The sequence below is a fragment of the Homo sapiens genome, chromosome X (assembly GCF_000001405.40).
Source record: "Homo sapiens chromosome X, GRCh38.p14 Primary Assembly".
Taxonomy (NCBI): domain Eukaryota; kingdom Metazoa; phylum Chordata; class Mammalia; order Primates; family Hominidae; genus Homo; species Homo sapiens.
The window spans coordinates 155,272,069-155,291,884 of NC_000023.11; the positions used below are offsets into that span (position 1 = coordinate 155,272,069).

At 37.5% G+C, this 19,816-nt stretch overlaps 1 protein-coding gene and 1 pseudogene across 1 annotated transcript in view; both read right to left on the reverse strand.

Annotated features, from left to right (window-relative positions):
- The window catches only part of CLIC2 (chloride intracellular channel 2), a 58,404-nt gene continuing 42,730 nt past the window's right edge, over nt 4,143-19,816 (reverse strand). Inside the window, exons 4-6 of the mRNA NM_001289.6 lie at nt 7,894-8,000; nt 7,081-7,262; nt 4,143-5,996 (exon numbers count right to left, since the gene is read on the reverse strand). Coding sequence (NP_001280.3) covers nt 5,835-5,996; nt 7,081-7,262; nt 7,894-8,000 — 451 coding nt within the window. The 3' untranslated portion in view covers nt 4,143-5,834. The remainder of the gene's footprint in view (nt 5,997-7,080; nt 7,263-7,893; nt 8,001-19,816) is intronic.
- Nucleotides 16,106-19,351, reverse strand: TWF1P2 (twinfilin 1 pseudogene 2; annotated as a pseudogene).

The following is a 19,816-nucleotide window of genomic DNA, read 5'->3' on the forward strand; positions in this document are numbered from 1 at the left end:
TGGAGTTAGATGGTATCTCATTGCAGTTTTGATTTGCATTTCTCTGACGATTAGTGATGTTGAGCATTTTTTCATATACCTTTTTGCCATTTATATGTCTTCTTTTGAGAAACGTTTATTCAGATCTTTTACCCGTTTTTAAATTGGACTATTTGTTTTTTTCCTATTGAATTGTTTGAGCTCCTTATATATTCTGGTTATTGATCTCTTGTCAAATGAGTATTCTTAAATATTTTCTCCCATTCTATGGGTTGTCTTGTCACTTTGCTGATTGTTTCCTTTGCTGTGCAGAAGCTTGTTAGTTTGATGTGATCCCATTTGTCCATTTTTGCTTTGCTTGCCTGTGCTTTTGAGGTCTTACTCAAGAAATCTTTGCCCAGACCAATGCCCTGGTATGTTTCCCCAATGTCTTCTTGTAGTAGTTTCATAGTTTCAGGTCTTAGATTTAATTATTTAATCTATTTTGATTTGATTCTTGTATATGGGGTAGTTTCATTTTTCTGCAAATAGATATCCAGTTTTCCCAACACCATTTATTGAAGAGACTGTCCTTTTCCCAATGCATGTTCTTGGCACTTCTGTCAAAAATGAGTTGACTGTAAATGCATGGATTTATTTCTGGATTTTCTTTTCTGTTCTATTGGTCAATGTGTCTGTTTTTATGACAGTACCTTGTTATTTTGGTTACTATAGCTCTGCAGTATAATTTGAAGTCAGGTACTGTGATTCCTCCAGTTTTGTTCTTTTTCTCAGGATGGCTTTTGCTATTCTTGGTCTTTTATGGTTTAATATACATTTTAGGATTATTTTTTCTATTTCTGTGAAGATGTTATTGGAATTTTGATAGGGATTGCATTGAAACTGTAGATTGCTTTGGGTAGTATGGATATCTTAACAACATTTATTCTTCCAAACCATGAATATGCAATATCCTTTCATTTTTTTGTTTCTTTCATCAATGTTTCATCAATGTTTTACAGTTTTCATAGTAGAGATTTTTCACTTCTTTGGTTAAGTATATATATATATACATATATATATCTCACCATGGAATACTACTCAGACATAAAAAATGAAATAATATGTTTTGCAGCAACTTGGATGAAACTGGAGGCCATTATCCTAAGTGAAGTAACTCAGGAATGGAAAATCGAATACCACATGTTCTCACTTATAAGTAGGGGCTAAGTGATGGGTATGTAAAGGTTTGCAGAATGGTATAACGGACATTGGAGTCTCAGAAGTGGGGGAGGGCTGGAGGGAGGTGAAGGATAAAAAATACCACCTGTTCGGTACAATGCACACTATTCAGGTGACAGATACACTTAAAGCCCAGGCTTCACTACTATACAATTCACCCATGTAACCAAAAACCACTTGTACCCCTAAAGCTATTGAAATATAAATAAATTAATAAGCAATTAAACAGACAACCTACAAAATTGAAGAAAATATTTTCAAACTATCTCATAATGGTCTCATACTTGTAATCTATAAGGAACTTAAACGATTCAACAAGCTAAAACCAAATAACCCCATTAAAAAGTGGGCAAACGATATGAACAGACACTTCTCAAAAGAAGACATACGGTTGGGCGAGGTGGCTCATGCTTGTAATCCCAGCACTTTCGGAGGCCGAGGCAGGTGGATCACGAGGTCAGGAGTTCGAGACCAGCCTGGCCAATATGGCGAACCCCCCACCTCTCCTAAAAATACAAAAGTTAGCCAGGCATGGTGGCATGCACCTATAGTCCCAGCTACTTGGGAGGCTGAGGCAGAAGAATCACTTGAACCCAGGAGGCGGAGGTTGCAGTGAGCTGAGATCGTACCATTGCACTCCAGCCTGGGCAACACAGCAAGACTCCATCTCAAAAAAATATATACATATGGCCAACAATCATATGAAATAAAGCTCAACATCACATTAGAGAAATAAAAATCAAAACCACAGTGAGATACCATCTCACACCAGTCAGAATGGCTGTTACTAAAAAGTCAAATAACAGATGCTGGCAAGGCTGTGGAAAAAAGGGAAGATTTATACATTGCTGATGGGAATGAAAATGAGTTAAGCCACAGTGGAAAGCAGCTTAAAGATTTATCAAAGAACTTAAACAAGCTACCATTTGACCCAGCAATCCCATTACTGGGTATCTACCCAAAGGAAAATTAATCATTTTAGCAAACAGATACTGCACTTGTATATTCATCATAGTACTATCTACAATAGCAAAGACATGAAATCAACCTAAGTATCCATCAACAGAGGATTGGATAAATAAATTCCTCTGTAATGGGAGATTTGCCTCTTTTCCTCCATTAATTAATTAATTATTAATTAAGTCATTTGTGTCCATATGGACTCCTCTATTTTATACTTTGTGTTATAATCTAATACTGCATTACAGACAAACCTCAACTTATGACCATTTGACTTACAAATTTTCAAGTTTATGGTGGGTTTATTGGGATGTAATTGCGTGGTAAGCTGAGGAGCATCTGGACTTATGGTTTGACTTATGATTTTTTGACTTTATGATGGGTTTGTTGGGGTACTAAATGCCTTTTCAACTTACAATATTTCTAACTTATGATGGGTTTATTAAGTCATAGCCCCATCAGAAGGTGAGGAGTATCTATATTTTATTGAGGCAATTTTTCCAAATTTGGCAATCTTTCAGGATGACTCCTCTATTCCTTTGCCATGCCTTCATCTTTTTTTTTTTTTTTTTCCTCAATTCCTTACTTTCTGGTGCTATGAGATTCTCCAGGCCCATCTTGTATTTCCCCTGCCTTGGTCCTAGAATCAGTTATTTCTCCAAGTAGCTCTAGTTCCTTTTATTGGAGAATGATATTAGAATCCAAGGTCTTAGCATTGGGTGTGCTTGTTGCTACTAGGGTACTATTGCTTCTAGGCCCTCTCAGGACACAGGGCTAGGAACTATACATATGTATACTGACTCATGTATATACGCACATGTAATTATTTTTGTATCTATTCACCTCTATCAATATTAAGTTAAACTTGAGTACATACCGATGTCTCTGAATCGAATCCAGTACCACATAGTTCATCCTAGCCTTCTTGATTATTTGTACTTCCCACCTACAGTTCATTTACTTATTTTTTCAATCTTAGTATACATGTATGGCTGTTTCAGAATTGTCTACACATATCCCCTTGAGAAACAACTTTGCCAATTAGAGTACAATATTTATGTATAGTTTCTTTATATTTTGTTTTATATTTTCCAGAAGAAACACTGTTTCGCAAAGTTACTTTGAGACTATATGGTCTTTTAAAGTTTGGTAGCATTTCCCTGTGAAACTATCTGGGGATTGATACTTTTTGGTAAGTAGTTCCTTATAATTTTCTCTATTTCTTCTTTTTAAAAAATGTTCTCTCTTTCTTCTATGAAGATTGAGCTCTTCAATTTTCATATCTCTAATAAAGTTGTTTTTCGTAATCTTTACTTTGCTAGGAAATTATCTCTATCATCTAGATTTTGAAATTTGTTTGCACAGAGGTCTGCAAAGTAGTCTCTTATAATGTCTTAAATTTCTTCTAATAGTTATTTCCCCATTCTTTATTTTGCATACTTTTGCTTTCTCTGTTTTATTTCAATTAATGTAGCTAATGGTTTGTCTGTATTATCAATCTTTTAAAAAATAAAGGTTTTGATTCGTTAACTAGGTCTATGCTATTTCTATTCTTTTGTTAATTCTTACTTTTTTTGTTAATCTCTTGTGTTCTTTTACTTAATTTGTTGTACTTATTCTAAGTTTCTTTCTGTTTTTTGCTGGTGCTCTACCAAGATCCATTTGGACATTTTTTTTTAAGTTGTGTTAAAAACACATAGCTTAAAACTCATCACCTTAACTATTTTGAAGCAGAGAGTTGAGAAGTGTCAAGTATATTCACATTGTTGTGCACATTTTAAAAATTTTTGTTAGTTCAATATTTAATCAATTTATTTTCAATCTTTTATTTTTACTAATAGCAGTGTTTAGTTATAAAATTTCCTCTGATCACTGCTTTATATTTATCCCATGGATTCTGATATGAAGTGTTTACATCATCATTATTTGTTTTAGAGATCATGTAGTTTTGGTTTATATTTTTCTTTTAAACCAAGAGTTAATTGAAGGTTTTTAAAATTTATTTTTTAAATGTATAATGGGCACATAATTGTACATATATATGGGATACAATGTGGTGTTTCAATGCATGTACACACAGTATAATGATCAAATAGGCGTAATTACCATATCCACCACTATAAACATTTGTTATTTCTTTGTGGTGACATTTAAAAACCTGCTTTTCTAGCTATCTTGAAATACATGCTACATTATTATTTGCTATAGTCACCCTACTGTGGTGAATGCCAAAATTTATTCTTCCTAGGTGTAACTTTATACCCATTGACCAACATCTTTCAGTGCCTCTGCCTTCTTTCTCTCCCTAGCCCCTGGTAACCACGATTCTACCCTCTACTTGTGTGAGATCAACTTTTTAAAATTCCACATATGAGTGAGATCAACTTTTTAAAATTCCACATATGAGTGAGATCATGTGGTGTTTGTCTTTCTGTGCCTGGCTTATTTCATTTAACATTTCAAATGTATTCTATCAATTGTAACTTGCTAGTGCATTGCATGTATTCTGAAATATACTGATGACAGGATGTATCTCAAAGATTATCAACATGATTGCATTTCTCTGCCACCTAACCATACACTATACATTTATCTTGACTCTATGGTTTTCAAGGACAGTACTTTGAGTTTGCTCATTGCCTTACTTTTCTTTGAACCTATTAAAACGCTACTTCATTTAAATTTTATCTAAACTCCACCCTTCCACCAAAGCCTAAAATATTTTCCTTTTTTGAAGCTGCACTTATGCTTGTGTTTCTCTTTTGAGGGAGCAAGAGTTAAGTTCAGCTTTTGTTTCCAGATTTGAATGATTTAAGAGTACTTTAACAAGTGAATCTGAATACGTATAGTAATGTAACATTTTAACTTTTGTAGAAAGTTTTGTAATTATCTAAGGACTGTTTACCTTATCCTTTTATGGACAACAAGAAGACCTTTTGGTCAGCCACAGTTTTTATTTTCCTTTTCATTTCTATGAATAAAAGATTCAGTTGACTTTGTTTCTTATATTGTTTTTTAAAATTATGTTTTATTTAATGAGTGCTTCTTCATTTAAAAATAATATAATCTGGTCACAAAGGCTACATTCTCATCTCTGACCATGAGGTGGTCATAGTTCTAGGCGTCAAATGCTGTTCTATGACCAATTGATCTTGAGCTCTTCCTAGAGCTGATTTTAAAAATCATTCTTTAAGAATTTGCCTCTCTGATATGCTCACTCTCTGTATTTATTATTTATATCAGAAATAAACTCATGTATATATTAAACTAACAAAAATGTGAAATTATTTTAGCGATTTATATGGAAATGTTTCTAAGGAGCAGGGTGAGATTGTACCTCTACTTATGACATTTATAACTGCAGACATCTGTTTAGCTTATATGTATGCATTCCAGGAATTCAAGCAAAGGGCAAAAGATTGTGATGCTTTCCATGTCATTCAGGATTGCAGTGGTTTGCCATACAGATAAAGAAAATTAAGTAAAAGTATGAAGACCTGTAAAATACAGTGGACAGATTATTTATGGCTAATAGAAAATACAGAGTTCCTTTTCATAAGAGAGTTGGATAGAAGAAACAGTATTTTTCATATTCTTATTTGCAAAAACCTTTCTAATATGTCAATAAGTAAAATCTGATCACAAATATAGCCTTGTCTCCTGTAAGAGCTCTCCTAACTCTTCTGTTTAGCCACATTTGCGTAAGTATTTTCAATTTCTTTGTCTTCAGGACACGTGTGGGTAAATTCTTCACGGGCATAGGCATTGTGGAGATAACGCCAGACTCCTGAGAATTCTGCTGGAATGTCAAAGTCACGATATTTCTTGGCAGCAACCTAGAATTTTGCAAAAAAAAGAGGAAAAAGAAGGCATCAGTAATATGCCTACTATGTAGAAATGTTTCTTAGAAGTCAAGATTATCAAAGGCATCTTATCGACACAAAAAGCACTATAAAATAAACTATGAAGTAGACACGAATCTTGGACTATTTTGATGTTTTGTCTACAAATGTTGACAAAACTACATGCTTACAATCATGTTGATATTGATTCTGTATTTAATTATGACTATATTTAGAGGAAGGAACCACAGAAAATGAGCACATATCCACCACGACTAGACTAAGAGTTTATTTAGAGTCCTATGTCTTCTTTCTTTACATATTCTCTGTGTTTGGCATAGGACTCAAAGAGTAAATTCTGTGTAAGTCTATGCAATAAATATTTATTAAATTTATGATTAATTCATCATAATACTAATAGCCCAAATTGGTTATTCCCTATTATGATCTAGGCACTGTTCTAAGCATTTTAAATGCTTTAATTTATTTAATTCTCTTAACAATTCTGTAAAATAGGTAATATTATTACAAAATAAGACAGTGGAAAATACCTTCTGATTTAGAAAGAAAGAAACAAGTTTTGGCTGGGCACGGTGGCTCACGCCTGTAATCCCAACACTTTGGGAGGCCAAGGCAGGCGGATCACTTGAGCCCAGGAGTTCAAGACGAGCCTGTGCAACATGGTGAAACCCTGTCTCTACAAAAAGTACAAAAAATTAGCCAGGCGTGGTGGCACGCACCTGTAGTCCCAGCTACTCAAGAGTGGGGTGGGAGGACTGCTTGAGCCTCAGAGGTGGGGGTTGCAATAAGCCTTGATCATGCCACTGCACTCCAACCTGGGTGACAGAGCAAGACCCTATCTCAAAAAAGAAAAAAAAAGAAACAAGTTTTAATACTTCCCAGAAGAGAACATTATGGATCTTCCCTCTAAAGAGAAAAGAGATGTATATAGTACACATGATGATGATGATAATGACAAAGCTATAATATAATAATACCGCACTGGAAGGTCACTATGCTTTGTGCTGGCAACTGGCAAACCCCTCCCACCCATTCAGCCTGCCTTATAAAGACTTACTTTAATAATGTTCAGCTTGGGTAACAAGCTACAATCAGCCAGTGTTAGCTGGTCCCCATCCAAGAATAGTCTTCTGGAAACTGGGGGTTCCTCAGCACTGTCTGGATCAATTTCATCCAGAAGTGGGGTGTTTAAGTAGTCATCCAGACGCTTGAATTCTTTGAGCAGAGATTTTTCAAAATCTGAGGCAATGAAGTAATAGAGTTACTTGTAAATGTATTGTCTTTTGACTAAATACATTCTAAATATGCTTTCCACACATTTAGACACCTCTATCTATACATACTACTTACACTGGCTCTTCAATATCTAGTTAACTATTTAGAATGCTCAGCTACTCACTGATAAGACAAAGTAAGATGAAATAGTGAGTGTTAATCTTTTGGGCTTTTCTTAGGGAGGTGCATTGGCAGGAGAGTAAAAGAAAGAAAGAAAAGTGATCAGAAGAGTTAGAAAGTGAAAGAAAAAACACAGTTCTTGTGACTCAGAGGATAATAAATCTATTTAAGAATGTTCGTGGGAAATGGTAGGTGCCACAGTTTAAGAAACCTTAAAGGTACACAGTCCTGCAGTTAGTTCACACCTAGTATGTCAATATTCTAATTGAGCTATGGTTGGTAATAGCTATATTGAATCTTGAGTTCTAAATCTAATACAACTTCATGCGAGGGAATTTCAGAGGAGAGTATAGAGAATGAGGGGAAGACTAGGCCAGTCCCCAAAATATACTATATATTCAGGAAAATTCTATTTTTGCTGAGTGAGAAGATGAAGAGTGAGAGAAAAATAGAGATTTAAAGAAAGGTATCTTACTCTTATTTGCCTCCTTTTGTGTATTCTTAATGTATGCAGAAAACTTGGCAAAGAGGTTACAGCCCACATCAAAAGACTCCTTGTACTTGGGACTCAGGTGAGGGTACCTTAAAAAGAAACATGCGTCAACTATCATTTGCACATAACATGACAGAGACCAGGTGCCCTAGCTTGCACTATACTGAAAATGGAAGTTCTGGAACATTGTGCTGGAAACTAAACACCCTTAGAAGTCTCTCAGTAGAAGTTTATATTTTTTCCAATCTCAGAACACTTTGGTTTCTAAAGTTCACAGGGTAATCAGTTGTCTGGAATCCAAAGCTCATTTATCTGTAGAAACAATGTTTCAAATGGTGGTTTCCATACTTGCTCCTAAAAGCCTATTTGTCAGAAGATATAATGTCAGTACAATACATTTGCAGACATGAGTAGTAGAAAAATATGGTTTTGGCCAGGCGCAGTGGCTCACGCCTGTAATCCCAGCACTGTGGGAGGCTGAGGTGGGTGGATCACCTGAGGTCAGGAGTTTGAGACCAGCCTGGCCAACATGGTGAAACCTTGTCTCTACTAAAAATACAAACATTAGCTGGGCGTGGTGGCGGGCGCCTGTAGTTCCAGCTACTTGGGAGGCTGAGGCAGGAGAATTGCTTGAAGCTGGGAAGTGGAGGTTGCAGTGAGCTGAGATTGCGCCATTGCACTCCAGCCTGGGGGACAAGTGAAACTCAGTCTCAAAAAAAGAAAAAGAAAAAGAAAAATATGGTTTCAAATATTACAACTTATAAAACAAATGGTGGAATAAATAGGATGGAGAAAATGGGAAAAAAGTAGCCAATATAATTCACCACATTAACAAATCAAATAAGAAAACCCATTTGATAATGACTAGATGCAGAAAAGTATTCAATAAAAAATCAGCACCTCATGGAGATATCTGTGCTGCCATGTTCACTGCAGCATTATTCACAAAAGCTAACATATAGAAACAACCTAAGTTCCCATCAACAGATGAATGGATATAGAAATTGTGAGATATATATATATATATATATATATGTAATAGAATATTAATCAGCCTTAAAAAGAATGAAATCCTGTCATTTGCAACAACGTGGATGAGCCTGGAGGACGTTATGTTAAGTGAAATAAGCCAGGCACAGAAAGACAAATACTCCATGATCTCACTTATGTGTGGCATCTTTAAGAGGTCAAATATATAGAAAAAAGAATAGAGCAGTGATTACCGGGGCAGTGGGGGGAGGAAAGAGGGAGATGTAGGTCGAAGGGTACAAAGTTGCAGTTATGTAGAATGAGTAAGTCTAGAGATATAATGTATAATATGAGGACTAATAATATTGTATACTGAAAATTTGCAAAGGGTAGATTTTAGGTGCTCTTACCATATAAAAAAGATAACTATATGAAGCGATGGATATGTTAATTTACTTGACTGTAGTAATCATTTCACTATATATATGTATATCAAGACATCATGTGATATACCTTAAATATATACAATACAAACAAAGGCTAAAACACTCAATTCCTTTTCATAAAAAAAAATTCACTGGAAGCTAGAAATGGTCAGGTCAAAAACTTAGGTATCTTCCTTGATTCCTCTCTTTCCTTCTAACTCCACATTTGATCTATTAGCAACTCTGGTCAGCTTACCTTTCAAAATGTATCCAGAATCTGTCCACCCCCGCGCCCCTGCCCAGTCCAAAGCCTATATTACTGTAACAGCCTCCTGACTATTCTCCCTATTCCCATACTTGTCCCTCATACACCTGGAATATTCTCCACCCATAGACAGAGCAATCATGTTAAAATGTAAGTCATGTCATGTCTTTCCCCTACTCATTAGCCTGCAATGTCCTCATCTCAGAGTTAGAGCCCAAGTGCTCATAGTGGTCTACAAGGACCCACATGATATGAACCACCTTCTTTCCCACCCAGTCTATTAACCACCCAGAAGCCAGAGTGATGGCTTTCCCCTACTCAGTAGTCTGCAGTCGTCTCATCTTACCGAGTCACAGCCTAACTCATTACAGTAGCCTATAAGGATCCACATGATGTGATCCCACCTTACCTCTCTTCTCTCATATCCCTCACTCGCTCAATTATGACACAGACCTTCTTGCTACCATTCAAATAGGCCTGGAAAGCTCCTACCCCAGAGCCTTTTAACTTGGTCTGCCCGTAGGTGAGGGGGACACATGGACATCCCTTGCTCCCACTTTTCTTTCAGGTCTTTTTCATGGGTATCTCTTTCTAAGTGAAGCCTTTCTCTGGACGCTCAATTGTAACGTTGCAACATCACTCCTTTCCCTAACATCACTACTTCTCTTTTTTGCTTTATTTTTCACCTTAGCAGGACAGTTTTAAATTACCTGTGTTATGCCTTCTCCAACCCACAGTATGGAGAGAGATGCCCTTTGCTTGGGAGAAGAAGAGGTAAGTGAACACCAGACTTTGCCTCAGACCCAAACACTGGGCCCAACACAGTAAAGTCTAGCCCTGGACAGGCCATGATTACCCCAGACTTTAGGCTGGTCCCCACAGACTTGGGCAGTAGGCCAGCCCTTGTAGCCCCAATGTCCAGGCCATCCCTGCAGATGTAGTCTCCCAGCCCTGGGCCAGTAGCCCCAGACTCCAGACTTCCTTCAGCACCAGATCATACCTCCAGGCTTGCACCCCTCCAAGACAGCCCCTTTGCTTCAGGACAGCCACTGTACCCCCAGACTCAGCTTTCAGGCCCTCTCCATCACAAGACTAGCACCTTTGGACCCCAGTTTAAGGCCAATACCCACAGACCCAGTATCCAGACCAACTCAGCTCCAGGCTGGCCTTCACACTCCCAGGCTTTGGGTCTGTCCCAGTGCCACGTTGACACCCATGGACCTCAGCTCCAGGCTGGCCCCCATGGCCACAGGTACCAGGTCAGCATCCAAACATTCAGCCTCCAATACAGCCCTCATGGGTACAGACTCCAGGCCATCCCTGGTGGCCCCAGATTTCAGGCTGGCCCATTCAAGCTCAGGCTTCAGGCCCAGACCAGGCTCCAACCGAGTCCAAAAAAGGCTGACCCACAGAGCCCCAGGCTTCAGGCCCGACCCAGAACTAAGCTGGCTTCTTCAACCCCAGATTTTGGGCAACTGTAGCAGAATACACATTATTTTCAAGTGCATACAGAATATTCACCAGGATAGATCATATGTTAGGCCACAAAACAATTCTTAACCACTTAAGAAGATTGAAATTACATCAATTATTTTTTCCAACCACAATGAACATCCTTGTCTTGTTTCTGATCTTAAGGGGAAAAACTTCAGTCCTTCACTATTGAGTACAATGTCAGCTGTGGGTTTTTCTTTTTGTTGTTGTTGTTTTATTGAGTATTTTATTATGTCAGGAATTGTGCTAAATGCTATAAATGTATGATCGTATTTCTTCTATGCAATGTATTTTTTTCATTTCTTTTTTTATTATACTTTAAGTTCTAGGGTACATGTGCACAACATGCAGGTTTGTCACATATGCATACATGTGCCATGTTGGTGTGCTGCGCCCATTAGGTATATCTCCTAATGCTATCCCTCCCCACCCCCCGACAGGCCCCGGTGTGTGATGTTCCATCCTGTGTCCAAGTGTTCTCATTGTTCAATTTCCACCTATGAGTGAGAACATGCGGTGTTTGGTTTTTTGTCCTTGCCATACTTTCTTGTTTCCTCACATGCCTCAGTTTTTTTTTTTTCTTGAAAACCAGATGTTTTGAATGTTATAATGTAGAAACTCTGGAAATCTGATTGATTCTCCCAGTCCCCTGGTCTTGTTGTTGCTGCTTATTGTGGTTGTTGTTGGTTTAGTTAATTTTCTTAACTAATTTTGTAAAGCCTATATTTTTTTGGTATGTGTGGCCTCTGAAATATTTGTTCCATTAGCTTTAGTCAGTTATTGATTTTACAGAGATTTTATTAAACTCCTGGAAGCAAAACAAAGAAACAAACTATGAAAACAAAAAGCTTTCTTAGTTTTTGAGGGTTGGTTCTGTGTTGGGGCTCTCCTTCATTGCTTAGCTATACAGTTTAAAGTTCTGCCTTTGCCTTCATTTTCTGCTTGTGCAGTGCCTGAAATTTAGCCAGAATTGAGAGCCTAGTCTTCTCAGTTCTTTTGTGAGCACACATCTAGAAATGGGTCCATGCATAGTCTTCTATAGTCCTCAGAATACATAAAATGTTTTGAAGCCATTATTTCCCTAAGCATCCCCCAAGTATCTCAGCCTCTTTCTCCCTGGGATTTTTTTTTTTTTTTTGAGATGGAGTTTTGCTCTTGTTGTCCATGCCCAGGCTAGAGTGCAATGGCGCAATCTCGGCTCACCACAACCTCTGCCTCCCAGGTTCAAGCGATTCTCCTGCCTCAGCCTCCCGAGTAGCTGGGATTACAGGCATGCACCACCACGCCTGGCTAATTTTGTGTTTTTAGTAGAGATGGGGTTTCTCCATGTTGGTCAGGCTGGTCTCGAACTCCTGACTTCAGGTGACCTGCCCGCCTCGGCCTCCCAAAGTGCTGGGATTACAGGCATGAGCCACCGCGCCTGGCCCTTCCTGGGATTTTTCCATTTGTCTATTGCTTTTCCCAGATGTTATTCCTTGTTCTGTGTAGCTGTGACTAATACATTTGCTTTAAAATTCTTTCCACAACCAGCACCAGGGAAGGTGCCTCAGCCCTGGGGAAGCTCTAGTGCAGGTGATAAAAAGGTAAACCATTGAGGTAATCCTTCAGGGAACCACCAGATAGGTCAAACTACACAATCACAGTTCATTGAAAATAAGGTCAATATCGCTTCCTCTGGTACCAGTAACCTGCACCTGCAATATAAGCTGCCATTTTTAAGACTATTGATGGGCTGAGGGTTGGAGGATGGTCTCAAGGTAACCAAAAATGCCACAGAACTCTCACTGAAATTTAAATTTTTTATTCATTAAGTGTTCTCCTGGCTGCTGTAATTTTTGCTTAGATTCCAGAGTTCTGAAAAAGTTGCTTCTGACAGTTTTGCCAGCCTATTCATTGCTTTTATGAAAGAATGGAGTTCTGGAATTCCCTACTCCACCATTTCCATTAATGTGGGTGTTTACAAGGCTTTTAAAAAGTAGATAAAACAAAGTTCATATGGAAGGGTTCCCATATCCAGCAATATGGAAGACTAACCGTTGTGGAGGGCCTTGTAAAAAGACAATTCCTTTTAGCAGTGTTTGTAACAATAAAACGTAGAAACAATATTTCAGTCCTTTTTCAAGTCATGGTAACTATTATGAACTAGTATGAACCAGTGGTTGTTGTGTGTTATCGAATCTTCACTTTTAAAAATGGGTGTGTCAAAGAGTGGGTGGAGATAATTTTTAATATATTTGACTGCCTGACCATTAGTATCTAATGGAGATATTGCACATCATCCAAAGGTACTGGACTTTAAGCCGACTGTAGTAACTGTGTGTTCCATATGTGAGAAGAGGGATACATACATTTATTTGGGTGGTCAGAGGGGCAAACTATGGCAGATAACACACTTATATACCACTACTTAGATCTAACCACATGAATTACCTCTGGACAATGAGCTGTAAATGGAAATTTTTGGGTGTGGCTTCTGTGAAAACTCCTTAGAGCTGGCTTGTATATTAGATCTGTTGCCTGGAGTTCCAGCAGACATATTGTCACCATGAGTTAACTTTGAGACTGGAAGCCTCACTTGAAGGATGGCAGAGAAGAAAGATTAGGAGTTGAAATCCCTAATGAAATTACGGAGCTATCATCCTAGGTTCATTCTGAGTTTCTTATGTGAGAAAAATAAAAACCATATTTCTTTCTTTCTTTTTTTTTTATTTTGGTTTTAAGGAGCGGAGAGTTTAATAGGCAAGAAGGAAGGGAGAAGACAGAAGGAAGAAACTCCCCCATACCGAGACAGAGGGAGGGGGGCTCCAAAGCCGAAAGAGGAGGCCCCCCAAAAACCATATTTATTTCATTAAAAAAATTTATTTTAGTTTCGGATACATGTGAAGGTTTGTTACATAGGTGAACTCATGTCATGGGAATTTGCTGTACAGATTATTTCATCACCAAGGTATTAAGCTCAGTACCCAGTTGTTATCTTTTCTGCTCCTTTCCCTCCTCCAACCCTCCACCCTCAAGAACACCCCAGTGTGTATTGTTCCCTTCTTTGTGTTCATGAGTTCTCATCATTTAGCTCCCGCTTATATATGCGAACATGTAGTATTGGATTTCTGTTCCTGTGTTAGTTTGCTAAGAATAATAGCCTGTAGCTCCATCCATGTTCCTGCAAAAGACACGATCTCATTCTTTTCTATGGCTGCATACTATTCCATGGTATATATGTACCACCTTTTCTTTATTCAGTCTGTCATTGATGGGCATTTGGGTTGATTCCATGTCTTTGTTATTGTGAATAGTGCTGCAATGAACATTCTCATGCACGTGTCTTTATGGTAGAATGATTTATATTCCTCTGGGTATATATCCAGTAATGGGATTGCTGGGTCAAATGGTAGTTCTGCTGTTAGCTCTTTGAAGAATCACTACACTATCTTCCACAATGGTTGCACTAGTTTACACTCCCACTGACAGTGTATAAGTGTTTGCTTTTCTCCACAACCTTGCCAGCATCTGCTATTTCTTGACTTTTTATTTTTATTTTTAGCCATTCTGACTTGTGTGAGATGGTATATCATTGTGGTTTTGATTTGCATTTCTCCAATGATCACTAATGAGCTTTTTTCATATGCTAATTTGCCCCATGTATGTCTGTTCATCTGTTCATGTCCTTTGCCCACATTTGAATGCGATTTTTTTCTTGTAAATTTATTTAAGCTCCTTATAGACACTGGATATTAGACCTTTGTTAGATGCATAGTTTGTAAAAATTTTCTTCCATTCTGTAGGTTGTCTGTTTACTCTGTTGATTGTTTCTTTTGCTGTGTAGAAGCTCTTTCATTTAATTAAATCCCATTTGTCAATTTTTGCTTTTGTTGCAATTGCTTTTGACATCTTTGTCATGAAATCTTTGCCTGTTCCTATGTCTAGGATGGCATTGCCTAGGTTGTCTTCTGGGTTTTTGTAGTTTTGGGTTTTACACTTAAGTCTTTAATCCATCTTGATTTTTGTATATGGTATAAGGAACGGGTCCAGCTTCAATCGTCTGCATAGGGCTAGCCAGCCCAGCACCATTTATTGAACAGGGAGTGCTTTCCCCATTGCTTTTGTCAGCTTTGTCAAAAATCACATGGTTGTAGGTGTGCGGCCTTATTACTGGGCTCTCTATTATGTCCCATTGGTCTATGTGCCTGTTTTTTTCTTTCTTTCTTTCTTTTTTTCTTTTGAGACAGAGTTTCACTCTGTTGCCCAGGCTGGAGTGCAATGACGTGATCTTGGCTCACTGCAACCTCCATCTCTCAGGTTCAAGCAATTCTCCTGCCTTGGTCTCCTGAGTAGGTGGGATTACAGGCGTGTGTCACCAAGCCTGGCTAACTTTTGTATTTTTAGTAGAGATGGGGTTTCACCATGTTGGCCAGGCTGATCTGGAACAGCTGACCTCAGGTGATCCACCTGCCTCGGCCTCCAAAAGTGCAGGGATTACAGGTGTTGTATCAGTACCATGCTGTGTTTTGCTTACTGTAGCCTTGCAGTATAGTTCGAAGTTGGCTAATGCGATACTTCCAGCTTTGTTATTTTTGCTTAGAATTGCCTTGGCTATTCGGGCTCTTTTTTGGTTTCATAAGAATTTTAAAATAGTTTTTTCTAGTTCTGTGAAGAATGTCATTGTTAGTTTGTTAGAAATAACACTGAATCTTTAGATTGCTTTGGGCAGTATGGTCATTTTGTTGATATTGATTCTTCCTATCCATGAGCATGGGATATTTTTCCATTTGTTTGTGTCTTCTCTTATTTCTTTGAGCAGTGTTTTGTAATTCTCATTGTAGATATCCTTCACCTCCTGAGTTAGCTGTATTCCCAGGTATTTTATTTTTTTGTGTGTGGCAATTGTGAATGGGATTGCCTTCCCAATTGGGCTCTCAGCTTGGCTGATGTTGATGTATAGAAATGCAAGTGATTTTTGTACATTGATTTTGCATCCTGAAACTTTGCCAAAGTTGTTTATCAGCTGAAGGACCTATTGGGTTGAGAGTATGGGGTTTTCTTTGAGAAAAATTTTTTATTGTGATACAAAATGCACTTATAAAATGTCCACCAGAAGGCATGTAATTCTTCACTGCTATATAAATTTATTGGGAATATGTTATTCATTGTCTAGGTATGATAATGCCACCTAAAACATACTGTAAATGATGAGTTATGCTCTATAACAAATGCATCACTGATTTTCAGCAATCATAGGTTTAATAATAATTAGTTTAAGACTATAATCACATCTATATTCTGGAATGTCCATTTACTTTAATGTAGTGTAGTGGAATTTAGAGTATAATTGCACATAGATGGTACAGAAAAACATTCACTTCTAAATTATTTTATACCTTCATGACAGGTAGTCTTCCTGACTGAAAATAACTGCTTCAGCTATGGTCTGCAACACAGCTCCAGGATTCTTAATGCAATAGTTTGGGTGTATGTATGTCTGTCCATGTGTGCTCCCATGGAACAACTTATATCTTTAATAAACAAGTGCAACATTATTGTCAATTATTTTGCATGTTTAAATACTATAGTCTGATTATTTGTAAACAAACAAAACCCCACACAAATACTCTAAATTCTATATAAAAAATCTGTCAACCCATAATTATTCTAATATGCTTTACTTACTTGAACACAAATTTCTGAAAGGTACATATATTACCTTAGATAATAAGGTTTAGAAATAAGTGCTTTGGCCGGGCGCAGTGGCTCACACCTGTAATCCCAGCACTTTGGGAGGGCAAGGCGGGCGGGTCACCTGAGGTCGGGAGTTCACAACCAGCCTGACCAACATGGAGAAACCCCGTCTCTACTAAAAATACAAAATTAGCCAGGCATGGTGGCACATGCCTGTAATACCAGCTACTTGGGAGGCTGAGGCATGAGAATCACTTGAACCCTGGAGGCAGAGGTTGCAGTGAGCGGAGATCGTGCGATTGCTCTCCAGCCTGGGCAACAAGAGCAAAACTCCGTCTCAAAAAAAAAAAAAATGAGTGTTTCACCCTATGAAATGTGCATTTCTGATAACTGATTTACGCAGCATAAAGTTTAGATCAATAAATTACAAATCCTGGATCCCCACAGCTCATTTAGAAAATGCCTCAAAGTTATGGTTTTTGTAGCAGGTTTAACAGACTAAACATGAAGTATTCTAGCTTCCTCTATTTCAAGTATCAAAGAAATATGAGGCTCAAAATCTCTCTAGGTTGTAACTGAAAATGCAAAGCATTAGAAGACAGTTAAATGTGGTTTGAAATACAATATTAATTGAAAGGAGATTATTAAGGTGTTTATCTGTGCTAGCCTGTTAAATACTAGGACTTTAAAGTAATTTTAAATCTGAATATTTGTTCAGAAGTGACAAAGAACACAATTTGCCTATAAATGTATGGTTTTGGAGAAAAAAGTCAATCCTGATTTTTAAAACTCTTTCAACATTTTTTATTTCCTTTTGAATGATATTAATTTAAATTTCAATCTGAACATAAATGTTTGGCTTCACAGAGCCTTAGATAATTTACTAAGGCTGTTTAAAGTCTTTCAATGTCATCAGAAATCCTGCAGTATAGAAAATATCTGGTACCCTTAAAGTTTCAGAGTGAGCTGATCTGCAATTTTAATGCTGTTTAAAAAAAAGTCAAATATAAAAGACTGCTGCAATATAAAGCACTATTTCTAAAAGTTGCAGAGATGATCCTATAGTCTGACAGAGTTAGAACAGCTACTCAGAATAAGCAACTTCTGGCCTTTTCCGAGGCACACTAAGTTTCCAGCTTAGAAAATACTCTAGCCTGGTCTTTAACATATTCATTAAGTGATAAGAATATTTTAAGGTCTTTCTGTCCTACATGAAAGTAGTAAGTTTATCCTTCGAGACATCAGACTTTCTAGAACTGGCTCAATTGTATAAAATTTTAACAAGTATGTGAAAGTGTAGAATCAACACTATAAAAACAGTGTGACAAAATTAAACATTATGTTGAACTCTTTTCTAGCTTTAAGTCAAAAATAGAAATCATGACTCTTATGTAACATTAATTTAAAAAGTACATAGAAGTGACAAGTGCTATTTTCCAAAAAGTACAATTTTTTCCCTACTTTATATCAACATGGAATGATTTCAGTTCTCCTGTATTGAAAGCTGGACTTTTAAAAAACTAGTATTGCTATGTTTAATGTGATGACTTGAATCAGTAGTAGCTTCATTTTCCGCTGGGCCCCTAATTAGTCTTCGAATTCTTCTTTTTCCTGCATGCTGCTTGGGATGTACTTCTTCTTCACAAAGGAAGTCTGAAGTCAACTAATCCTCATTGTCTATCTCAATCTTTCTAATTACATCCATTACAACATCCATAGTTGTCTTTCTACAATTTCTAGCAGAGGGCTCTTGCAGCTAGAATACAGCATCCGTTCTCTTATACTGCATGTGTATCTGGGCATTGAATAGATAAAAACTATGGACTCTAAATAGTCTCCTTCATGGGAATGTTTATACAGAAAGAAATGGTAACGAGCTGAATCCTTGGGAATCCTCTTTGGCAAATCTTTTAGTTCTGTATTTGTTGTGTTGGCCAAAATTATAATTTCATTTTTTATGTTTATTTCCAACTGCACATAGTTCAGCTGTTATTTATTTTTTCCAAAGCCTGAAAAGCTTCTCGAGAAATAGGAAATGCTACTCCTTGTAGTGTTTGATGCTTAGCGTCCACACCCACGTCAGTCTGTACCTCATTGATTTTAATGTCATAATTCTTCCTCAGCTGCAGTCAGTGGGGCAGGGGAAGATTGTGAGAGCAAACATTTTTTATATCCATGTAATGATACATCTTCCTTTACTGTTCCAAATACTTCATCTTTAACGTGGCCACCTCCAGATTCCTTTTCCAGAGTTGCTCTTGTTGCTGCATATAACCTTTTTTGACGGACATGAGAATGATCTGGAAACCATGCAATGAATATCCATTCATATCCCTGGGCATTCTGAGAATCTAACCTGAATAATATATAGCACAGTTGTTTGTCCTCCAACAGGGGTAAAACAAAGGAATCATAATCGTTATCCCAGGAATCTGAAGGCTGACTATATATGATCCAATCATAAGTTGCCCATTTTCAATAGATATTTTCAGAGGTCTGTACTTTCCATTTCTGGCTCTGGCAAGATCTCTTTAACATCTTCACTTGCTTGGATGCAGGTCTGGTGGGACGTGGCGGCGGCCACTAGCTCCTGGCTCCGATGCTGAGTGCAGCCGAGTATGGGGTTTTCTAGATATGGAATCATGTCGTCTGCAAACAGGGATAGTTTGACTTTCTATGTTCCTATTTAGATGCCCTTTATTTCTTTCTCTTGCCTCACTGCTCTGGCTAGAACTTCCAATACTATTTTAAATAAGAGTGGTAAGAAGGGCATCCTTGTCTTGTGCCTCTTTTAAAGTGGAATGCTTCCAGCTTTTGCCTATTCAGTATGAAGCTAATAGAAAATCAGACGGATTTGACAAGATGATTCACAGGAGAACAAAACCAAATGATCAAACAACATAGGTAAAGATGCTTAAATGTATCTATCATTCAAGGAAATACAAGTTAAGTATCAATGAGATGTCACTACACCTGTTATATTGGCACAGATGTAAAAAGAGTGCTAATGCCTAGTATTACAGATATGTTGGGAAAGAGTATGCTGAATAAAACAGATATTTAAAAAAATGGGGTCGGA